Below are 20,852 nucleotides of genomic sequence, written 5' to 3'. Positions count from 1 at the left end.
AATCGTTCATAATCACACATAAAAAGAGAAGACTCTCATTATTACATGAGTATCACATACAAAAAATTCCAGGTCTAAAAAGATTTTGCCCTCCACCATGACAGGAAGATAATACAGCACAGTGGTCAAAAGCACGGTGTTCAAAAGTCAGATGGGGCCAAGTGCGAGGTGGCTCATGCCTGTAATCCCAGTACTTTGGGAGGCCAAGGCAGGTGGATCACCTGAGGTCAGGAGTTCAAGACCAGTCTGGCCAACATGGTGAAACCCCGTCTCTACTAAAAATACAAAAATTAGCTGGGTATGGTGGCAGATGCCTGTAATTCCAGCTACTCGGGAGGCTGAGGCAGGAGAATTGCTGGAACCTGGGAGGCAGAGGTTGCAGTGAGCTGAGAGCACACCACTCCGCTCCACTCCAGCCTGGGCAACAGGGCAAGACCCTGCCTTCAAAAAAAAAAAAAAAAAAAGGTTAAGATGATATACTTCATGTTATGTGTATTTTACCACAATCTAAAAAAATTCTAATGTGATGCTGCAAATCCCTAGGCTTTCTTGTCCAAAAAATTAGCCAAGAAATTACAAAGAAAAAAGAAAGAAATGGCTAATAAAAGTTTCATTATCAAGATTTTTGCAAATACTTTAAAAATATTTTAAAAATACAATTACGTCCTTGGCTCAAACCCTATCCCCTCAGCAACACAAAACTATTTCTCTCTCTTTCTTTTTTTGAGACAGGAGCTCATTCTGTCCCCCAGGCTGGAGTGTAGAGGCACATCAGGTCACTGCAACCTCTGCACCCCCATGCTCAAGTGATCCTCCCACCTCAGCCTCCCAAGTAACTGGGATTATAGGCACACCACCACACCCAGCTGTGTATGATTTTTTGTAGAGCCACATTGCCCAGGCTGGTCTCGAACTCCTGGGCTCAAGCAATCCACCTGCCTCAGCCTCCCAAAGTGCTGGGATTACAAGTGTGAGCTGCCATGCCAGGCCAGAACTATTTCAATTGAAGTCGACATTCTTTGAGCCATCAACAGAACTGGGTGTGAAGGTGCAGTACTGACATGGGTGCTTCACATGCACATTGTATTTATATGTACAGTGGGAAACAACTCTGAGGTCCTGTGCAAAACAATCATGTCACAGGCTAGCATTAAAACTTATTAAATAATGACTTAGAATTTCCCTTTAGCCTTTTAAAAAAAGTATAAGCCACGTTCTCACAGGACAACATGGCTTCTAAAACTAAGGTGAGATGGCATGAGGACTGGCTGGGGCCACTGACAGACCAGAAGGCTGTGTGGGGAACAAAGCACCTCCTTGCCAATGGGGACAACTTACAGCTCCTGCAGCTCCAGCTCTCAGAGGCCAAGCACAGACAAGCTGCCCATTTAAAAAAGTAAAGTCTGAGGGTTTGGGGGGTTTTAACAGGAGCTTCTGAAACAAGAATGTGGGTACCACACCTATGACCCAAGGTCCTCCTGATGAAATGCGGACGAGAGACAGACACATTCCACCCAGAGGAGCCGACAGCTACAGAAATCTCCATCTCGACTTTTGACAGGGCGAGGTAACGACAGAGTGCAGAAGCAATACCAGCAAGAATCGACTAAGGGCGATACTTCCCAAGGGGGCGACGCTGACCTTATGCCCAGAACTAAGCATGTTATTTATCTATTTATTTATTTTCAATTTTTCGTAAAGATGAGGTCTTACTATGTTGCCCAGGCTGTTCTCAAACTCCTTCCTCCTGCCTCGGCCTCTCAAAGTGCTAAGATTACAGGCATGAGCCACAGCCCCCGACCACCATTGTCTTGTCTGCCGAAAAACGTTTACCGGGTACAAAAGTCTGATCTCTGGAGAAGGTCCCTACCCACAATGGGTACAGAGTGCCAATGATAGCAAAGGGCAGACTCACTGTGGGTGCGTCTTGTAAAGAGATCCGTCGACACCAACCGTGGTCCGCAGCCTGGGTGTGCCCTTGTTATCACGCAGGCGGTTCAAGATGGCGCCCAGTGTGGCAGCCACCAAGTTGGCTGAGCGAAATGAGACAATGGTGCAAACGTGCTGGACTGAGACACAGTCATCATCGGACGGCTCCACTCCCAGGCGGGTCAGGATTTCTTTGGCATTGTGGAGGCCTTCCTTATTCCTGTGAAGTTAGAAGCCAATACTGATGCACTGAGGACCACATGAGGCAGTGCAAAGCACTGAGGCTCAAAGGTGCTGGAAAGGGACAGCCCCACTTACCATGTGTGGGATGGTATGGGATGGTATGGGATGAAGACTGTCAAATGCCTGAGAAGAGCCCAGGAAGGGTTCTCCTCCATAAGAAATGCCAGGTAGTGATAGGAAAAACTGTACCAGGTTGCACTATGCCAAGCCAGGACCATGAAGAGAAGTGGAGAGGCAAGACTATGTGGCCTCTGAACAGGTGGCGAAATGGCTGCCACCACCCAGGGCTCATGAGGCTCAGGAGAACCTCCCACTCGTGGGGTCTGTGAGTTGCCCCTGGATGCTTATACATCCTTCCTTGATGTCTCTCAGTGAAATTGTAATTTTCTGTACACGTGTTTTGTGTATCTTTTGTTGGATTCATTCTGAAGTACTTTATAGTTTTGTTATTGCTGCAAATGGTGCCTTTAAAATATATATGTATACATACAGGCATACATATACACTCACACATACACACAAACACATATACATACACTCTATCTTTGCAGCTTTCCTGTAAATCTAAAATTATTCTTAAAAATGTGTTTTAAAATATGTACATATTTTTATTATTGCTGATAGAAATACAGTTGACTTCTGTATCTTATCTCCAGACATCTTTTTTTGACAGATTTTTTTTAATATTTAAAAACAAAACCAACCTCGCCCCAAATAACCCCCAAACAAAAAACCAGATTAAATAAAATGTACAGTGAATATACCCAGCAAACATCTGTATGTGCAATCAAATACTGTGTCTGTTACTGCGGCACGAACCTCAAACAAACAATATACAAGTGTTCTGGGAGGGTCGGGGGAGTCCCAAGTTTTAACTCTGTGGGGTCTAGGAAGACAAGATGGGGAAGTGAGAGAATGGGGAAATCAATTTTGTTTATCTTAATTCTGTCCATATAAATATATTCATAAAGACCAAAAAAGGAAAGGAAGCTTGGGATGTTAAGGTAATACGAGAATAGGAGAGTGTGGGACTTTCCCAATTCTACCTGACCAAAAAATATGAGAGAAATTAATTTTATGATGGGAGAAGAGATTTTAAAAATGATAGAAGAGGATGGGGGCTGGGCACAGTGGCTCACACCTGTAATCCCAGCACTTTGGGAGGCCAAAGTGGGAGGGTCACCTGAGGTCAGGAGTTTGAGACCAGCCTGGCCAACAAGGTGAAACCCCATCCAGACATCTTTTTAACCTCTCCCGTCATTCTATTCATTTGTCTGTAGATATTTTGGGGGTATTCCATATAGACTTTTACCATTTGCAAATAATGACAGTTTCACTTCTTTTTTGATTCTCATACCTTTAATTTATCTCTCGTCTTTTCTTTAAAAACAAAAACAAAAACGAAAACCCACTGGCTAAGACTCCAGTACGATGCCAAATAGAAACTGGTGATACTGTCTCGCTCCTGATTTTAGAGAATGCCTCTAACATCTGCTCTTGTAGGATGTTTTTATAGTTTTTTTTTTTTTGAGATAGCCTTTATTATAATATACATGCTTTCTTGAGCTAGCTGGGTTTGTGTTTCTTGGTAACCAAAGAGTCAATACCAGAAACAGGCCAAGAGGAAGGCATGCATTTCCTGACTTGGCCAGTGATTTTCAAGACAATCCACGAGTCTCCCGCTCCCCTTCCTTCCCAGCCACTGACCAGGAGACTCATGAAAAGGGACAGCTGGAAACTCAGGAGAGTGATCATACAACAAACTCCAGCACATGGATTTGGCAGAAGAGTTGGTCCAGATAAACCCCTTTCCTCTTCCAGCAGCTGCCTTCTCTAACCTCAAAGAGAGCTGATGCAAATCTTCACAAGGAGACAGAGAATCCCGGGTTTCTTGTGTGATGCCAAGGGGCTACAGTTAGTTGCTGGCTGGCTCTGTCCTTCCTTCTAACTGTCCTGTCTCATCTGTTAACCGGTGTTTCTCAAACTTGCACGTCAGGGCACATTTCTGGCTGTTAACAGGTTTCCTCTGAAAGAATGTGTGTGTGGCAGGGAAGGGGTGGTTTCAAGCACAAAAGAAGTTTGGGAAATGACAAGTCAAAGCAAACTGGGTTTTCTTTAATGTGTTGATGATACTATAAATCTGTATTTTTATACTTTATACTTCTTATTCTTTTTTACTGTGAGTCTGTATTTATTTTACCATAATATTGTAAACTGGAAGATAAATGTGCCATATTCCCAATCCTATTGGTCAAGGAAGTCTTTTTTCAGGGAGCACCTAATTAACATCTTGAGGTTACTAGGGTGCCCTTAGTGCCCTCAGCACAGTCTGGAGGTCTCCAGACTGGAAGTGGGAGGTGGAATTCCAAAAACCCAGGCTCCGGGCTTTACCAGCTCCTTGCTCCTTGCTCGAATAGTCTGCTTCCTGGACGCTAATCTTACCCTGAGTGTGTGTGGAGGGTGGGGGTGATGGGCTGATGGGGGTGGGAGAGGAGGCTGCTCTTGTAGCTAGACAGGAAAATCACCTGTGCACTTGAGGCTAACTATGTCATTCTTTAATGAACCGCCACAAGTGCCTTCAGGGAGTCCGGCCCAGAATGGGTCAACTAAGAGTGAGAGGACACGGACCCAGAAAGCCATGACACTCTTGAAGGAAAAGCCACCAAACTTGGACTCAAGAAGTAACAAGGGACCAATTGCTCTTCTCTGCCCCAACACCCCAAGAAAGCCTTGAGGGGATGGTACCTACTTTTCGATGGCTGACACATCACTGGTGTTAAACTTCCCTCGGGTGAGCAGCTCCGGGGTGATCCGCCCTTCAAATAAGAGGCCCTCCTTGGCCATCTTGACTAGGATCAGTCGAACCAGCTCTCCCAAGTACATGCCACTGACCATCTTCTCAAACCTGTGGAGAAAGGCACACCGGCACTTGTCAGCCTTCCTCTGCGCCCCACACACGAGGGCTGGGACAGACATAAAAGGAATGGGAAGCCCCGACTCACCCCTCACCAGCCCCCAGCCTCGCTGGCAGGCAAAACCATGTGCTTGAGTGACTGAACAGCAGAGGGAGAGGGATCGGAAGCCAAGCCGACTGTGGAGAGGGCAGGAGTCATCCAGACCCCATGCCTGTGACTAGGAGAACACCATGGGCAGGAGCAGGCAGGGAAGGCTGCCTGAAGGCAGGGGGAGCGTTTGGATTTAGATTGCAGATGTCAAGAAGGCCCCAGATAGAAATGTGCAAAATATGATAATCTCCTCCTAAACTGTATGCTATACTTTTTATTTTTTATCTTTATGTATGTACGTATGTATGTATTTACTTATTTATTTATTTTTTGAGACAGGGTCTCACTGTCGCCCAGGCTAGAGCGCAGTGACACAATCTCGACTCTCTGCAGCCTCAACCTCCTGGGCTCAAGCCATCCTCCCACCTCAGCCTCCTGAGTAGCTAGACCACCACGCCCAGCTAATTCTTAAAAATTTTTGTAGAGGGGGAGTCTCCTTATGCTGCCTAGGCTGGTTTCGAACTCATGGGCCCAAGCGACCCTCCCAGATGCAAGCTACAGCACCTGGCTTGTATGCTATACTTTTCAAAGAACTTTCACCTCCACTCCTATGGGAGACCCCAAGCCCTGTGGATAGGAGGTGGCCAGGAAGTATTCTCCCCATTTCCCAGCTCAGAAAGGGTAAACAGCTTCTCCGAGGGAAAGGCAGCCACTCCCCCTGGGGCCGCTGTCAGGACATTTGTTAGGCACCTCCCTGGCATGATTTTCTCCTTCTCCGGCCAAAAGGATCAAGAATTTGCTTTGAGGAACTCACTCCTCCCCCACTGATGTTACCCTAAACTCCAGGGCTGGGCTCTGCATACTGACAGCCAATCAGCTCACCGCACAGCTCCAGCCCCGGTCAAGCACCGACCAATGACAGAATGAGCCCAATGCTGCAGGGGAGAGGCAGCCAGGTGTAGAGATAGAAGCCAACACGCATTGCTGAAGGCCCAGCCGGGAGCTGGCAAGAACCAGGGCTCGATGCCATATGTGAGCCAGATTCAGCCCCCACATCCTGGCTGACGAGGGGCCAGGAGGAACCCCTGAGCAGGGCAGATTGAAGAGGTGGGCGCACATCAGAGCAGCCCGCCGCTCCTCTGCGGGAGCCCAGCTGGCACACCCACAGCTGGCTGTGACACAGCAAAACAATCTGTTCCAACCAGAGCCGCCCAGAAGCCAAGGATGCTGCCGAGACCTGAGCACCCGGCCCTCAACCATCAGCACAGGGCACAGAGCCTCCTTAAAAACACAGTCCTCATTGTTCCTGCTCCTGACAGAACCAGACGTGACCGCCTGGCTGCAGCCAGGCAGAGGATCCCTGGCAGGACAGTGCCCTTCTAAGTCTGGTGCCACCCCAGGCTCCTGTGGGAACAGCCTCTGTGTAGCCCTGAACAGGAATCTCAGCACTGGTGGAGGCCTGGCAGAGCCACTACTGAGCTACTCACCCTGGCCTCCCTACCTGTGCAATGAGATACTGACTGCTTTCCTGTAAGGTTATATGGAGGATATGGGTTAATATAGGTCAGATAGTGCTACAATATCTGGCTAACAATGAGTGCCTGTGGCCCTTCCTATGTGTCTGACACTTTTCCCAGCACTTTACCTGTATTAACTTTTTTCATCCTCATTACAACCCTAGGAGGGAGACATTAGCATTATCCCCATTTCACGGATGAGGAAACAGAGGCACAGAAAGGTTATATAACTTGCCCATGGACAGGGCTAACAAGTGGCAATCCACATTTTGAATCCAGTTAGATCTAACACCAGAAGTTGTACTCCTAACCACTGTGCATTCCTGCCTGTCTCATGGACCGTGTCACTCAATGTTAGCTGTCACTATCATGCTAGCAGCCACCTAGGACCACCCTACCCCAGCTTCTCTGCCTGTTCTCCTCCCTAGGCAGCCTTCCCTGTTGGGCAGTGTGACAAGAGAAAGGGCATTCCCCATAGGATGCGCTAACATCAGCCTCCTGGCACCCTCTGCCCGCTGCTTTTCACTCTGCCTTCTAAAGACGCCCAGAACAATCTGCTCCCTTTTCTACATGGCCTATTACACACATGGATAGTGATACCCCCTTTTCCAGATAGAGGCCCACGGCCAGGGTCTGTCCTTTCCCAGTCCCTAAAGGCCCTGTTAGAGCAGCAGAACAAGCAAATAGCACCTCTCACGAGCTTCTCTCTGTTCAAACCAAGGCTCATGGAGACCGGCTCCTGTTCCAACAGCGTGCTTCCCATCTGCTCAAGTGAAATTAATGAAATCGAGCAAGTCATGATCTGCCTCTCAGGGCATGCCACCTGTGATAACTGAACGGGTAACGCCCGGGCCCTTTTCCTTGTGATAACTGAACAGGTAATGCCCAGGTGTCTCGGCAGTCAGACACCTACGACCACAGACAGGCAGTGAGAGGCGGCGTGGCAGCGTTCCAACCAATCTGCCTGCTGGTGGGCCCAGGAAGGGCTGAGATGGGGGAGGGGAGCATCATCAACCACGAGAAGTCATGGGCAAGGACCTGCACACCAAAGAGGAGCCCTCAGCACCCTGGGTCTGCTTCAGGTAGAAGCCCAAGGAAAGAAAAGAGACAGAGGCCCATGGCCAAGCAAACCAGGACCGGAGCTGCCGAGAGATTCCATGGAGCAGCAGAACCACAGAAAGAAAAGGCATCTGGGTGCTGACTTGAAGGCGCACAGTTACTCAACCACCATCCAGGCCAAAGAGCTCTCCTGAACACCAACCACCAGCGTTTGCTGTTGCAGTCACTGCTGTTGCTGTGTTGTTGTGTGGGGTGGGGGCTCTGCATTTTGAAGGATGTGATAAGGAATCACAGGGAAAAAGGATTCAAGATCCCAGAGATTCCAGGCAGAACACAGAGCAAGAGCAGAAGAGCAAGAAGCCCAAGCAGGCCGGGTGCAGTAGCTCACACCTGTAATGCCAGCACTCTGGGAGGTTGAGGCAGGAGGATCACCTGAGCCCAGGAGTTCGAGACCAGCTGGGCAACATAGGGAGACCCAGTCTCTATAAAAAAATTTTAAAATTAGCCAGGCATGGTACTGCTGCCTGTGGTCCCAGCTACTCAGGAGGCTGAGGCAGGAGGATCACCTAAGCCTGGGAGTTTAAGGCTGCAGTGAGCTGAGATCACATCACTGCACTCCAGCCTGGGCAACAGAGTGATACCCTGTCTCAAAGAAAAAAAAAAAAAAACCTCAAGGAAACAAAAGGGAAGGAGAATTAAAAATGATATAAAAGGTGGGGCTAACTCCACAGTATAAGACAAGCATGTGGCAAGAATATCAAAGGCCTGGAATATAAGGGCGAGACAAGGAAACCAAAAGACTGATCCCTTTTAGAAACAGACCTTCTGGCTCTGGGGCAAGGTGGGGCCTGAACACTCAAAGCAGGTTCCTCTGCTGCCTCCCAAATGCAGTAACTACCAATGAAGGCAGGAGCCACATAGCTATTATGACAATGTCCTCCCTGTCCACTGTATACAGTAGGTACTCAGTTAAATGCTAACTCCAATCAAAGCAAATGGAATGAGTAGCTGTTGGTAGTCTAGAGCCCACTTGGGCACTGAGAGCCTTTGCACAAATCTAACACACTGAGATTTTAAAACCTGGTTAATGGCTGGGCACGGGGGCTCACGTCTGTAATCCCAGAACTTTGAGAGGCCAAGGTGGCTGGATCACCTGAGGTCAGGAGTTCGAGACCAGCCTGGCTAACATGGTGAAACCCCATCTCTACTAAAAATACAAAATTAGCTGGGCGTGGCAGCAGACGCCTGTAATCCCAGCTACTTGGTAGGCTGAGGCAGGAGAATCACGTAGAACCTGGGAGGCAAAGGTTGCAGTAAGCTGAGATTGCGCCATTGCACTCCAGCCTGGGTGACAGAGCAAGACTGTCTCAAAAAACAAAACAACAACAACAAAAAAAAAACCCTGGTTAAAAATTGGAATCGCCCAGGGAGCTTTTACAATACAGAGGACTGGGCAACCCAGGCCAACTGAATCATTAGTGAGAGGATGCCTGGACATCAGTATTTTTTTTAAAAGACCGCTATGTAACTCTAACATGTACTCAGAGATGAAAAATCACTTCCCTAGATCCTCCCTGATTACCAATGAGAAAAGATTCTGGAAGCTCACTCTGAAAACCTCAAACCTTCAAACAGGGCAAAAATCCCCAAACCTACACCAGACCACACCTCAACAATGAGTCTTGGGTCACCTCTGTCCTATTCTAGGGCCATAATTTTCCCATCAGTCAAATGGAGCAAACGTCTTTCCCTGCCACAAAGAGGGTAAAATGGCTTTCAAGAACTAGGCATTCCATGGAAAAACGACATAGGGAAGATCCAAAGATTCAGATAGAAGCCTGGGGGCACAGCAAAAATTTGCTTAGGCAAAAAAACTCTTTAGCCTACAGCCTATTTCCAGGAATATGTGATGCAACTTGGGAATTTGTCATTTCCTTGGAATTGTTCTCAATGAGACCTGGCCTACAGTATGCAGTAAACTAGTGATATGGTTTGGCTGTGTCCCCACCCAAATCTCTTCTTGAATTCCCATGTTGTAGTGGGAGGGACCCAGTGGGAGATAACTGAACGTGGAAGCAAGTCTTTCCCACGCAATTCTCGTGATATTGAATAAGTCTCACAAGACCTGATGGTTTTATAAAGAGGAGTTCCCCTGCACAATTTCTCTTTGCCTGCTGCCATCCATGTAAGACATGACTTGTGCCATGATTATGAGGCTTCCCCAGCTACATGGAACTGTAAGTTTATTAAACCTCTTTCTTTTGTAAATTGCCCAGTTACGGGTATGTCTTTATAGGCAGTGTGAAAACAGACTAATACAACTGAGAAACATATTCAAGAAAAGAGATTTTGCCCCAACCTTTCACTTTCTCATCTGTACCCCCATTTAGCCACCCACTCATCTCTCATCCATCATCAGCCACCCATCCATCCATCCATCCCAAAAATATTTATTGCAAGCCAACTGTAAACACAGTTTATAGTTTAGCCTTGGGATACAGTTCATCTCTTTGGAAAATTTCAGGCAAACATCAATGGACAGCAGAGAGATCCAAGTTTACACCCAAGCCATGCAGGGTTCCCAAACTGGGAACCAAGGATAAGGGCCTGGGCATTACCTGTCGAGTTACCACAAGTGGCATGCCCCACCTGCACTTCTAAGAAAAGAGACTTCTCATTAAGTGACTGATAGTAACTACAGGTACATAACCTCTTATCTGAAACCCTTTGGGGTCACATGTGCTTGGGAATGTGGAGATTTGAGAATTTTAGAGATGCAACAGGGTATACATGCCATGTGTCACAGAATACCTCCAGAGGTGCCTGAGGCAGCACTGCCATCAAGCACATTCAGGGCTATTCAGTGAAACATACAAATAGGCACAGTAATAAGTTCATGTCATGCCAGTGGGGTCAATGGATTGGGCGGGGTGGGGGGGGGTATGGTAAAAAACCTTTGACTGTCAGAGCTTTGGAACTGGGGTCCCTTGTCACCAAGCTGGTACCACAGTCTCAGCCTGCAATGGTGATGCTCAACTCTGGGTGTAAGAACTTGGGAATTCCCTCACTGAGAAACCTAGTTTATTCACTGCTGCCACCTCCACTGGTGGGGAGCTCGCCATTGATGAAAATCCATTAATTCAGGTGGAAAGGCCAACTGTCCACCCTGCAGTACTGAGATCTTTTGGGTCATGCATTTCAATATGGCTAGTAAATTCCTGTCCCTCTAGCATCAGGATAAGGGTTATTAGGTCTACAGAGTCAGTGAACATCTCTCTGTAGGTTGACAGTATCCAACTCTGGGATAAGGCTGCTGGGAGGCTGGGTAGATCAGAGAGAGCTAGCAGCATGCCAGCATCACAGAGAAATGTGAGCAGGCACTTCAGGAAATAAGTGGCTCAGAGAAAGCAATACCCACTCTAACCTGAATAATATCACTCTTACTTCTGTTCTTTATCAACTCTGGTGTGTCTATTTATGCTTGACATTGGAGATACGGAGATTGCCATAGTAAGAATGGAGGTTGCTTCTCCATTCTCCCTAACGTCTACATGACTTATACTCTTCTTACCCCAACTCCTCTGCACAACAGATATTTGCATGTCTGCCCTACCTCCCCATCTAGATTGTAAGTCTTGGGAGGGAAGGTGCTGTTTTGGATCCTCAGAGCCTAGCACAGAGCTCAGCACATAGTAAGTGCTCAATAAATATGTGATGAATGAATGGACACTCATCTCCCTTAGATGCCCCACATACCATGTTGGCCTCTCTTACCATGAACAGCAACACTCGTGACTACAGCATAGAGATATTTTTTAAACCTTACATTTACACTAACTTTCCTGTGCTTTGTTGGGGAAGCATTTTTGAACCATTCATATTTATTAATTTTCATGCAGCAGGGGATAATTTGAGGATTTTTTTTTTTCAGGGGCTACTGAGCTCCTGGGCTCCCATTCACCTCTTGATCTCCTCCCCTGACCACCAGTACCTGCTCAACTCTGGCCGCATTCCCCATCAGATGGGTTCATTGTGAGCCCCACACCAAGATGCATCAATGCCTCTGTGCTTTTTGTTTTCATGATGTTTTACAAGGACACAATCATAGTGTAATTAAACAAAGAGAAGATTATTTTAAAGGTGCTTTTCAGCTACAGACTCTACAGCTGTGCATCTCACCAAACAAGGAGCAACAAATAATGCAAATTTGATGGGCTTTAGGCCGCGCTAGGTGGCTCATGCCTGTAACCCCAGCATTTTGGGAGGCTGAGGCAGGCAGATCGCTTGAAGTCAGGAGTTTGAGACCAGCCTGGCCAACATGGTGAAACTCTGTCTCTACTAAAAATACAAAAATTAGCTGGGCATGGTGATGCATGCCTGTAATCCCAGCTACTTGGAGGCTAAGGCAGGAGAATCGCTTGAACCCAGGAGGTGGAGGTTGCAATGAGCTGAGATTGAGCCACTGCACTCCAGCCTGGGTGACAGAGCAAGACTCCGCCTCAAAAAAAAAATGTGACAGGCTTTTCTGTTTGTGATCACTTGGCTTTATGCCCTTTTCATCTCCCATCCCAAATCTTTCATCAAATGTCCCCTAACTCACATATGTGGTTAGAAGCAAAAGTCAAGGACTCACAGCTGTTTTCCAGGGTTGAGGGATCCCCGGTCTATCTCCCTGTCAAACTCTGTCCGGATGTCTTCTAATGATCCATCGTCTCCAAAGGCTCCCCATTCTGTATTGATACACATCCTCCCCTCGTCTCCTTCCACCAGATCAATGTGCCTCAGTTCCTCCATGTAGCAAGCATTGGTGCCAGTGCCTGGGCAGGACAAGATCAGAAGCTATGACCACACAACGGGGAGGGTGCAGAGCCACCTGGAAAGATGGGCCGAACAAATGGATGGGCAAAGGGGAATGCATTACCGATGATCAGGCCGACTTCACAGTGCTGGTCGTCATAGCCACAGGTCATCATGGTGCCCACTGTGTCATTCACCACAGCTACGATGTTGGCATCATAGTCCTGGGGACAGATAACGGGGTGTCATTGTCCACTCACACATGGGAGCAGAGATCACACACCTTAACAGCGCTTGGCAGAAGTGCTCCCGTTTTCAGAACCCCTGCTTTTGTGAGTGGTACTGGTTTCATTACAGCTGGTACTCAAATTAACTAGATCAGAGCATGGTGATTAAATGATGAAAACCTCACAGTTTCCTTAATTACCTGGCTTAAGAGTCTTTGGGTAGTGGGGATTTTACTCATGGAGCTACATTCCTCTGCAAACCTCCACAGGAGGTCCACGTCCCCGATAAGGCGGGCTCCTCTGCCCTTGTTCTAAGCACAGCAGGCTGCATCCGTGACACCCACTCCCTGAATAGCCCAGCACTCCTGTCAGGAGGTGACCCCCTGCTCCAGGCCTGGGTGCTCCAGGCAGCACCTCCGAGAGCTGGGCTTTGCACCATCCCCATCCTCATCATTCCACACTGTGAGCCCTCAACTCTCCCCTGCCTGGGTCTTCAGGCTTTGGCACTACTGCCCCCCAGGAAGGGCACTGGTCTGTTTTAGAATGCAGCCCTGCTCCCCACACCCCTGCATGGCTGAGGCAGAGGGCCCAGGAGAAATTACCCCTCGCTTTTTGATGGCTTTGTTAAGCAGTTTGACCACATCTGCTCCTTCCACTCCGCTCGCTTTAAATCGCTTTGTCCAGGTGATCAGGATGGCCTGCAAAGAAGAATGGATGGGGCTGGATGAGGGCTGGGAGGCCTCCAGCACCCCAAGGCCCTGGGCATTGCTCCAGGACAGGGATGAAGCAGAAGCCCATAGGGGCCAAGTGGCTCCTCCCAGATCACACTGGGCTTGGGGAGGGGCCCAGACTCATTTCCATCTCCCGATCATCCACACAATGGGCTTCTCTGGGGGCAAAGATAGGGTGGGGAGAAACCTGCTCACAATATCCAGTTCACTCCAGAAGAAAGCAAGTGGATGTGGGGACAGTAATGCCACATGGCTTGCCAATCTAACTGGATGCCAACTGCGCAGCCAGACCTATTTTAAAAGGGAGCAAGAGAAATCCCTGGCCCCCTTCCCCACTTCCCAACCAGACCCCGGCTTCCACAGCCCTGGGAAAAGAAAGCCAGAGCCAAATTGGAAAAAGAAACAAAATGCTAAGATAATTCTTGGCTGCTGAGCTTTTAAGAGCCAGGTCCCAGACATTTAGGGAATGATGTGGACTATACATGATTTGTGCCTCTTCACCAGCTTTGGGACTTAACCGCCATTTGTAAGTGGTGACTCCCCTATTTACACAGTATGATCCTATTTCACTTTGCATATTAGCAGAGAAACATCAAGGATAGACATCCAATGGTAAACATTCTATAATTTTATCTTACTTTGATAGTTTTACATATTGCTTTTGCTTTCTTAAAAAAAAACTAAAAAGATATGAGAACAGAAAAATAATTGTTATACTTGGCTGTTTTACTCTGAATGGGGCAAGTCACTATAAATGCAGCAGGGTTGGAAGATTCACGGTCCAGGCCCCGCAGGCCTGCAGAGGTAGCTCAGGGATAGCATTCTGAGCACATGGGCCCCGCCCCAGCTCACGGTGGGAGCCACACAGACTGGAGTATGCACCAGGGAGGGCAGCCCTTGATGAGAACTGGTGGTTCTTTGCTCAGCAGCAACTAAGCTAAGTCAGGAACTGCAAAAGCCCTGGACACTATCTGCCTCCTCTCAAGCAGCCCTCTTCCTCCTCCAAAGCCTCAGAGAACCAGGTGTTGTGGGACAAAGGTGGGGCTGGCAATCTGGAGACCTGGTCCCACTTCATACTGTCTGCCCATTTCCTGCTGGGCAGTTCCCTTCACTCCTCTGAGGTTCACTGTGCTCCTCTAGAAACAGGGAGCTGATCTAGAAGTGGACAATCTTGAAGTTCTCAGCCAGCCCTAAGGGGTAACATGCACAGGCCTCTGGATGGGAAATTGAGGGTCTGTGCTCCACTGGCGCCACAGCAAGTACCCTGGCCCAGCCTAGGAAGCATTCTCCAGAGGGGGTGAAGGCTGGCAGGTGGACACCCCCCACCTCTGGCTCCTTCTCTGTTCACAATGCCCCCTCTTGGGCATGTCTGCTCCACCCTGCAGGCTCTCGTGCCCAGGAAGTCATTCCCTCCCACCTCCTGCAACACTTCTGTCCATAGAAGGCTGCACCTTCATGGGGAACAGGCTACATCTGCTGTTACGGGACCTACTGTACGGTAACATTAAACCTCAGCACTGCAGGAATACAAAATAAATACACTCTGGCCATTCTCTCCCAGGGCCTAGCCCATGCCTGGCACAGGGATGGCACTCAGTCAATAGCTGCAGAGAGCACATGTAAACAACGGTGAAACGCAGTCCACCAAAGTCTCTTCATTCCAGGCCCACCTCTCACAAGGGAAGGGGAAGGGGGAGTGACTGTCATGTCTCAGTTCTCAAAAGCCAAGGGAAACTTGTACTGAAAACAGGCCTTGCCAAAGGGTTTGGAAGGACACAGTGGAGGCCAAACTGATCTGAACACCTTGGAGGGGCGTTCTCAGATACCAGAACCAGATTAAGAGTCTACATATGGCCACAGCTTCCTGAAAGCATAACAGGTCAGACAGAACATCTCGGAGGCATTTAGACATGTTGGAGGTGGGTGGAGCACTGGATGGGAGGTGGGGCCTGGGACCCTGGTCCAAGGCCTGCCATTAATAAGCCCTGTGACCCTGGGGAGACCTCTGCGCTCATCTTGGCCTGCTGTGCTCTCAAGCCCCTTCTTGCTGATTCCACAGATTTTACAGATGTAAGGGTTCCAGCCACAGGAAGCAGTGCCCAGGAAAGGACGCTTACCCTAATGGCATAAAGGGACCCAGGGGTGCTCCCTGCAAGTGTGGAAGGTGCCCTGAGCCCAAATGCTACTAACTTGCAGCAGAGTAGACCAGTTACGAGCATGGAATCTTCCTGGCTAGGTGACCTTGGACAGGTTCTTAGCCCCTCTGAGACTCAGTTTCCTCATCTGTAAAGTGGGAATCATAAGCACTTAACTCATAGAGATGCTTGAAGATTATGTGCAATACCTGTGAAGTATGTATTAAAACAGAGCCTGGCCAGGTGCAGTGGCTCACGTCTGTAATCCCAGCACTTTGAGGGGCCGAGGCAGGCGGATCACCTAAGGTCAGGAGTTTGAGACCAGCCTGGCCAAGATGGTGAAACCCCATATCTGCCAAAAATACAAAAATTAGCCGGACATGGTGGTGGGCACCTGTAATCCCAGCACTAGGGGGGCTAAGGCAGGAGAATTGCTTGAACCTGGGAGGTGGAGGTTGCAGTGAGCCGAGATCGTGCCATTGCACTCCAGCCTGGGCGACAGAGGGAGACTCTGTCTCAAAAAACAAACAAAAAAAGACAAGGTCTCACTCTGTCCCCCAGGTTGGGGTGCAGTGGCACAATCATGGCTCACAGCAGCCTCGATCTCCCAAGCTTCTCCCACATCACTGGGACTACAGGCACATGTTAACGCACACAGCTAACTTTTTGTACAGATTGCCCAGGCTGGTCTTGAACTCCTGGACTTAAGTGATCCTTCTGCTTCGGCCTCCCAAAGTGCTGGGATTACAGGCATGAACCACTGCACCCAACCCCAGAATTCATATTATTAGAAGTTTATTCATGGGTGGTTTGTGTTTGTGGTGTGTGTGGTTTCTGTCTTTCCATGTAAAAAAAGAACAAGGCTGTATGTATTTATTTTGTATTCCTGCAGTGCTGAAGTTCAGTGTTATCATCACAGTCCATCCTTGCTGAATGAATGAACGAATGAAAAAACAAATAGATGACAAACAGGAAGGTGGGTACAACAAGTCACCTCGGAGGTCGCCAAGGGCATCCCTGGGGCTGGAGCCACTGATCAGCTCCACTATGGAGAGGCAGCCCTGGCACCTGAGGGACAGGGCCCTGAGCATATTCGCAGTAACCAGGGCAGTTTCCAGGTAAACATCACACCATGCAATTCTGGCAAAGAGCTTTCCCACCTCTCTCCACCACCATTAAAACTACTTTATTTTCCTTTGCTTGCCTAAGATTAATAAATGCTTCTGTCTACCTGGTGGCCAAAAATACCCTGATTTGTCTCCAAAAATACATAAATAACTGAAGTTTAAGTGAAAAAGTAAACACTATATCATGATACCACACTAACTTCTGCAAATGTTTCTTTAAAAATACCAGACATGCAAACCATTCTGCCAACAAAGGGGAAAAGTTGTGGAGAAAAGGGCTTGTTAGCTTTTCCATCCCGGGGCATCTGCAGAGCCCGATAATCCCAGAACATCCTTACCTCATCTATTTTGGATTGTTGGCAAGGAAAAGAAAACGTGAATCCCACAGGTAACTTCTTGTCCTTGATCTTCCTTTTCTCCATGAAATCTCCCAGGCACTCAGCAACATGATCAAAAAGCTGAAGGAAACATGAGAGCAGTCAGGGGGCCCCAAAGCAGGCTTAGCATTTCATAGAAAAATATAAACCATTCCCTCCCACACACACAGAAAGGAATACATCTACCCAAACAAAGTGCTCGTACTCCTGGGACCTGGTGGCCCTGTCTGAAAAGCCATGCTGTGTGTGAATGCAGAGAAGAGTCACTTTTCAAAAGCTACCCTGTGGGCAAGTACAGCTCTTAAGAAGCAATTCAAAGCCTTCAACAGAACTGGCCTCTCAGTGGTCACTAATATGCAACATCTGGGTACTGAGAAAAATGGAAAAATAATAGAAAACCAGCTATGCCTTCATAACACACAGGTCACGGATCTCCACCAGCCACCAGGTGGAGTGGCCTTCCCGCCCCGCCCGACGCCACGCTCTCTGAAAATTTCAGAAACTCTGAGGGCAATTCCACAGCCTCTAGCCCACTGGAGTGACTTAACAATTCAGACTGTCATAATGTTACTTTTTACTGAAGTGTCTTATGCATACCCCAAAAAGTACACACATCCTAAGTGCAGAGTTCACTGGATTCTCACAAGCTGCAGCTATCCATGTAACCAGCACCCAGATGGAGAAACACGAGATGGAGAAACACCTGTAATATGCCCCCTTCTGCCCCTGCAGTCACTACCGCTACCACCCAGCCCAAGGGCAACTGCCAGCCACCCCGACGTCTATCACCCTCAGTTACATCTGCCTGTTTGTTTGGTGTGTCTAAAGGGAAATGAGACCGTGTGTGCTCTTTGGTGTCTGTGTTCTTTCACTCGACACCATGTGGATGACAGTCATCCACGGAGTTGTCTTTGACAACTGTTCATTCTCATTGCCGCACAGTATTCCTTGGTATGAATATACCACAATTTATCTACCGCACTGTAGCTTAAGCTTGCCTGTGCTATAACATGTTATCTATGACTTATCAGGTACATACATATCTTAGGAATCTGCTAGAAAGAGCCTGGAACACTGGGTCCCTAGCTTCTACATGAATACTGCCCATGAGGAGAGGCTCAACACCTCTAAGGTAATCTTTTTGGATCTCTCTAATAATTCCCTTCATCTCTAAAATATAACCAGGGCCAGGCATGGTGGCTCACGTCTGTAATCCCAATACTTTGGGAGGCCAAGGCAGGAGGATCACTTGAGCCCAGGAGTTTGACACCAGCCTGGGCAACAAAGTGAGACCTCCTCTCTACAAAAAGCTTAAAAATTAGCCAGGCATGCTGGCACATGCCTGTAGTCCTAGCTACTTGGGAGGCTGAGATGAGATGATCCCCTGAGCCCAGGAGGTCGAGGCTACAGTGAGCCATGATCATACCACTGCACTCCAGCCTGGGCAGCAGAGTGAGACCCTGTCTCAAAATATAATCAGAACAGAAGATAATATTCTATGTGTGTTCTAACCAGAAGAGTGGTTAGTAGAACTAAGAACCTCCCTTCTTTATCTCTCTGCCTCTAGTAATCCAACCTGAGCGTATATATATACACTTTTGGCAGCCATGCCACAGCCTAGCTAACCCCTTGTCTCTTTCACATGACTCTCATGACACTAGACCTCCCTTACACATGGCAGTGACACAGCCATGGAGCTTTTTGGAACCCAGAAGAAGGCTGTCTTAGGAGAGCCAAACCATAGTCACATGAAGTGGCCCCAGCCCGAACTCCCAGACAAGGCCAGCTGCCTGAAGGCTTTACTTGCAGGGCCTCATGAGGGGGCCAGAAGTCATTACTGCTGTTCCCATCTTTCCCCAGATCCCCCCCAAGCCAGCTCTAAAGTCGGACTTTGTTGCCAGAGTAATAGAACGCCTGGTCAATTTTAATGTAGGACCTTCTATCCCTGAGTCACTATTACTCAGGCTGCAGAGCAGCTGGCATCTTAGGCTGAGTTGACACATGACCCTCCCCAGAGAAGCCGGCTAAGCTTCCTGCGACCTACATTGCAGACTGATATAAACTCATTACTAAGTTGGTCCTGGCGCCCCACGCCATCTGCACTCGGAGGCTCCAGACTCTCCTGCAGCCTCGGGAGAGAAGGCCGGGTGAAGGGAAGGCTGCCTCAGGAAGGGGCAGAACTCAAATGGATTCCCATGAATGGGACCTGTCACCAGTTCCCGGATCCAGGCCAAACACAACTCCCCAGAGTGCACCATTGAGAAGGAAAGGCCGTTTCTGGAGTGCTGGTGATCCAGGGTGACAAGCCTGCCCAAAGAGGCAGGAAGTGACCCGCCCCAGGCTAGACTATGTCTGCGATCAACCAGGAAAAAAAGTCACCTAACCGCTCTGAACTCAAAGCTTTAGTGTCTTAAAAAAAAAAAAAAAAACATTATTTTCTCTTCTTGCCTGACAACACACTCTTTATTTGAGAAATACACACACTATGGCCAGGCATAGTGGCTCACATCTATAATCCAGCACTTTGGGAGGCTAAAGTGGGAGGATCGCTTGAGTCCAGGAGTTTGAGATCTGCCTGGGCAACCTGGCAAGATCCCATCTTTAAAAAAAAATTTTTTTAATAATTTAAAATAAAAATAAAGACTCAGTCACTCTTATTAAAGATGGCAAATGATGGCTAATACAAAAACTTAAAACATTTACTATTCAAAATTCCCACAACTAAGTAAGTGATATTTTAAGAATGTTCCATTTGTGCTTCTGAATTTATTAAAGCTTAAAAGTGCTCTGGGCTGGGTGTGGTGGCTCACACCTGAACAGGCAGTTCCAGACCAGCCTGACCAACATGGAGAAACCCCATCTCTACGAACAATACAAAATTAGTCAGGTGTGGTGGCGCATGCCTGTAATTCCAGCTATTTGGGAGGCTGAGGCAGGAGAATCACTTGAACCCGGGAGGCGGAGGTTGTGGTGAGCTGAGATCGCGCCACTGCACTCCAGCCTGGGCAACAAGAGTAAAACTCCGTCTTAAAAAAAAGAAGAAAAAAAAGAATTTGCTATAATGGTACTACATTATCATGATTATCGTCATCATCCTCTTTTCAGGCTGCTTAAAAGGAGGAGAGGAAGAAACAGAGACAGTAGGAAATAAAGTGATTCTAGGACTGAGAAGAGGGGACGATGGGGATAGAGGCTGGGAGAGACGAAGAGGGCAGTGGTAAGAAGGTGAGGGTACTCCCTTAATTAACAAACCTTGCTCCTAAAAGGTCAAGCCAAAACACACAGGGAATGTTTGTAAAACACACAGGGAATGTTTGCAGCACAGGGTGAGTCTCAGTGTTGAATGCGCCAGGCTTAGGTAGCTCAACCCAAGGACCTTGGGAAACAGAGTGATAGGCCAGTGTGTGTTCCAAACAGAAAGTGCAGGATGCCAAACCATGGGCTGCTGGCCACCTGCAAGGAGAAGCAATGCAGCAGCCAACTGGGCATGGTCAAGAGACCTACCAGCTGGCAGCCTTTGTGCAGGCGCCAGATGGATGGGCCAGTCTCTGCAGCCCCAGTAATGGGAGTAGCAGGGGAGCCCTTGGGCAGGGCCATCCAGTAGTGATGCACCCAGCTTTGGTGGCCTACTATAAAGTGGCTCACCTGCTCTAGTGACAGTGTCACCTGTGACACTCACTGTGACATAATCTGAAGGGCTCTGAA

General features: G+C 48.2%; 1 protein-coding gene across 30 annotated transcripts in view, besides 4 other annotated features; it reads right to left on the bottom strand.

The window, feature by feature from the left end:
* Positions 1 to 20,852, bottom strand: part of HK1 (hexokinase 1) — a 131,883-nt gene that overhangs the window by 19,872 nt on the left and 91,159 nt on the right. For 24 of the 30 annotated variants that reach the window (NR_199805.1, NR_199804.1, XM_047425137.1 and 21 more), the window contains 6 exons: positions 17,109 to 17,228; positions 13,380 to 13,475; positions 12,675 to 12,774; positions 12,387 to 12,570; positions 4,922 to 5,077; positions 1,916 to 2,149 (listed from right to left, as the gene is read on the bottom strand). Coding sequence is in view for 28 of the 30 variants with exons in the window: in XM_047425137.1 (XP_047281093.1) it covers positions 1,916 to 2,149; positions 4,922 to 5,077; positions 12,387 to 12,570; positions 12,675 to 12,774; positions 13,380 to 13,475; positions 17,109 to 17,228 (890 nt within the window). In the remaining 2 variants the exon portion in view is untranslated. Of the gene's footprint in view, positions 1 to 1,915; positions 2,150 to 4,917; positions 5,078 to 12,386; positions 12,593 to 12,674; positions 12,775 to 13,379; positions 13,476 to 17,108; positions 17,229 to 20,852 lie in introns of all 30 variants that reach the window. The other 6 variants (NM_001441144.1, NM_001441151.1, NM_001441152.1 and 3 more) reach the window with 5 other exon arrangements.
* Positions 4,636 to 5,156: an enhancer, noted in NCBI's record as "H3K27ac-H3K4me1 hESC enhancer chr10:71136611-71137131 (GRCh37/hg19 assembly coordinates)". NCBI's record gives its function as "activates a minimal SCP1, AML or CMV promoter by ChIP-STARR-seq in naive and primed H9 embryonic stem cells {active_cell/tissue: H9 hESC(naive and primed)}" and the evidence as "EXISTENCE:reporter gene assay evidence [ECO:0000049][PMID:30033119]".
* Positions 5,157 to 5,679: an enhancer, noted in NCBI's record as "H3K27ac-H3K4me1 hESC enhancer chr10:71136088-71136610 (GRCh37/hg19 assembly coordinates)". NCBI's record gives its function as "activates a minimal SCP1, AML or CMV promoter by ChIP-STARR-seq in primed H9 embryonic stem cells {active_cell/tissue: H9 hESC(primed)}" and the evidence as "EXISTENCE:reporter gene assay evidence [ECO:0000049][PMID:30033119]".
* Positions 15,005 to 15,508: an enhancer, noted in NCBI's record as "H3K27ac hESC enhancer chr10:71126259-71126762 (GRCh37/hg19 assembly coordinates)". NCBI's record gives its function as "activates a minimal SCP1, AML or CMV promoter by ChIP-STARR-seq in naive H9 embryonic stem cells {active_cell/tissue: H9 hESC(naive)}" and the evidence as "EXISTENCE:reporter gene assay evidence [ECO:0000049][PMID:30033119]".
* Positions 15,509 to 16,014: an enhancer, noted in NCBI's record as "H3K27ac hESC enhancer chr10:71125753-71126258 (GRCh37/hg19 assembly coordinates)". NCBI's record gives its function as "activates a minimal SCP1, AML or CMV promoter by ChIP-STARR-seq in naive H9 embryonic stem cells {active_cell/tissue: H9 hESC(naive)}" and the evidence as "EXISTENCE:reporter gene assay evidence [ECO:0000049][PMID:30033119]".

The sequence above is a fragment of the Homo sapiens genome, chromosome 10 (assembly GCF_000001405.40).
Source record: "Homo sapiens chromosome 10, GRCh38.p14 Primary Assembly".
In the NCBI taxonomy this organism is placed as follows: domain Eukaryota; kingdom Metazoa; phylum Chordata; class Mammalia; order Primates; family Hominidae; genus Homo; species Homo sapiens.
This window is presented reverse-complemented; position numbering and strand designations above follow the sequence as displayed.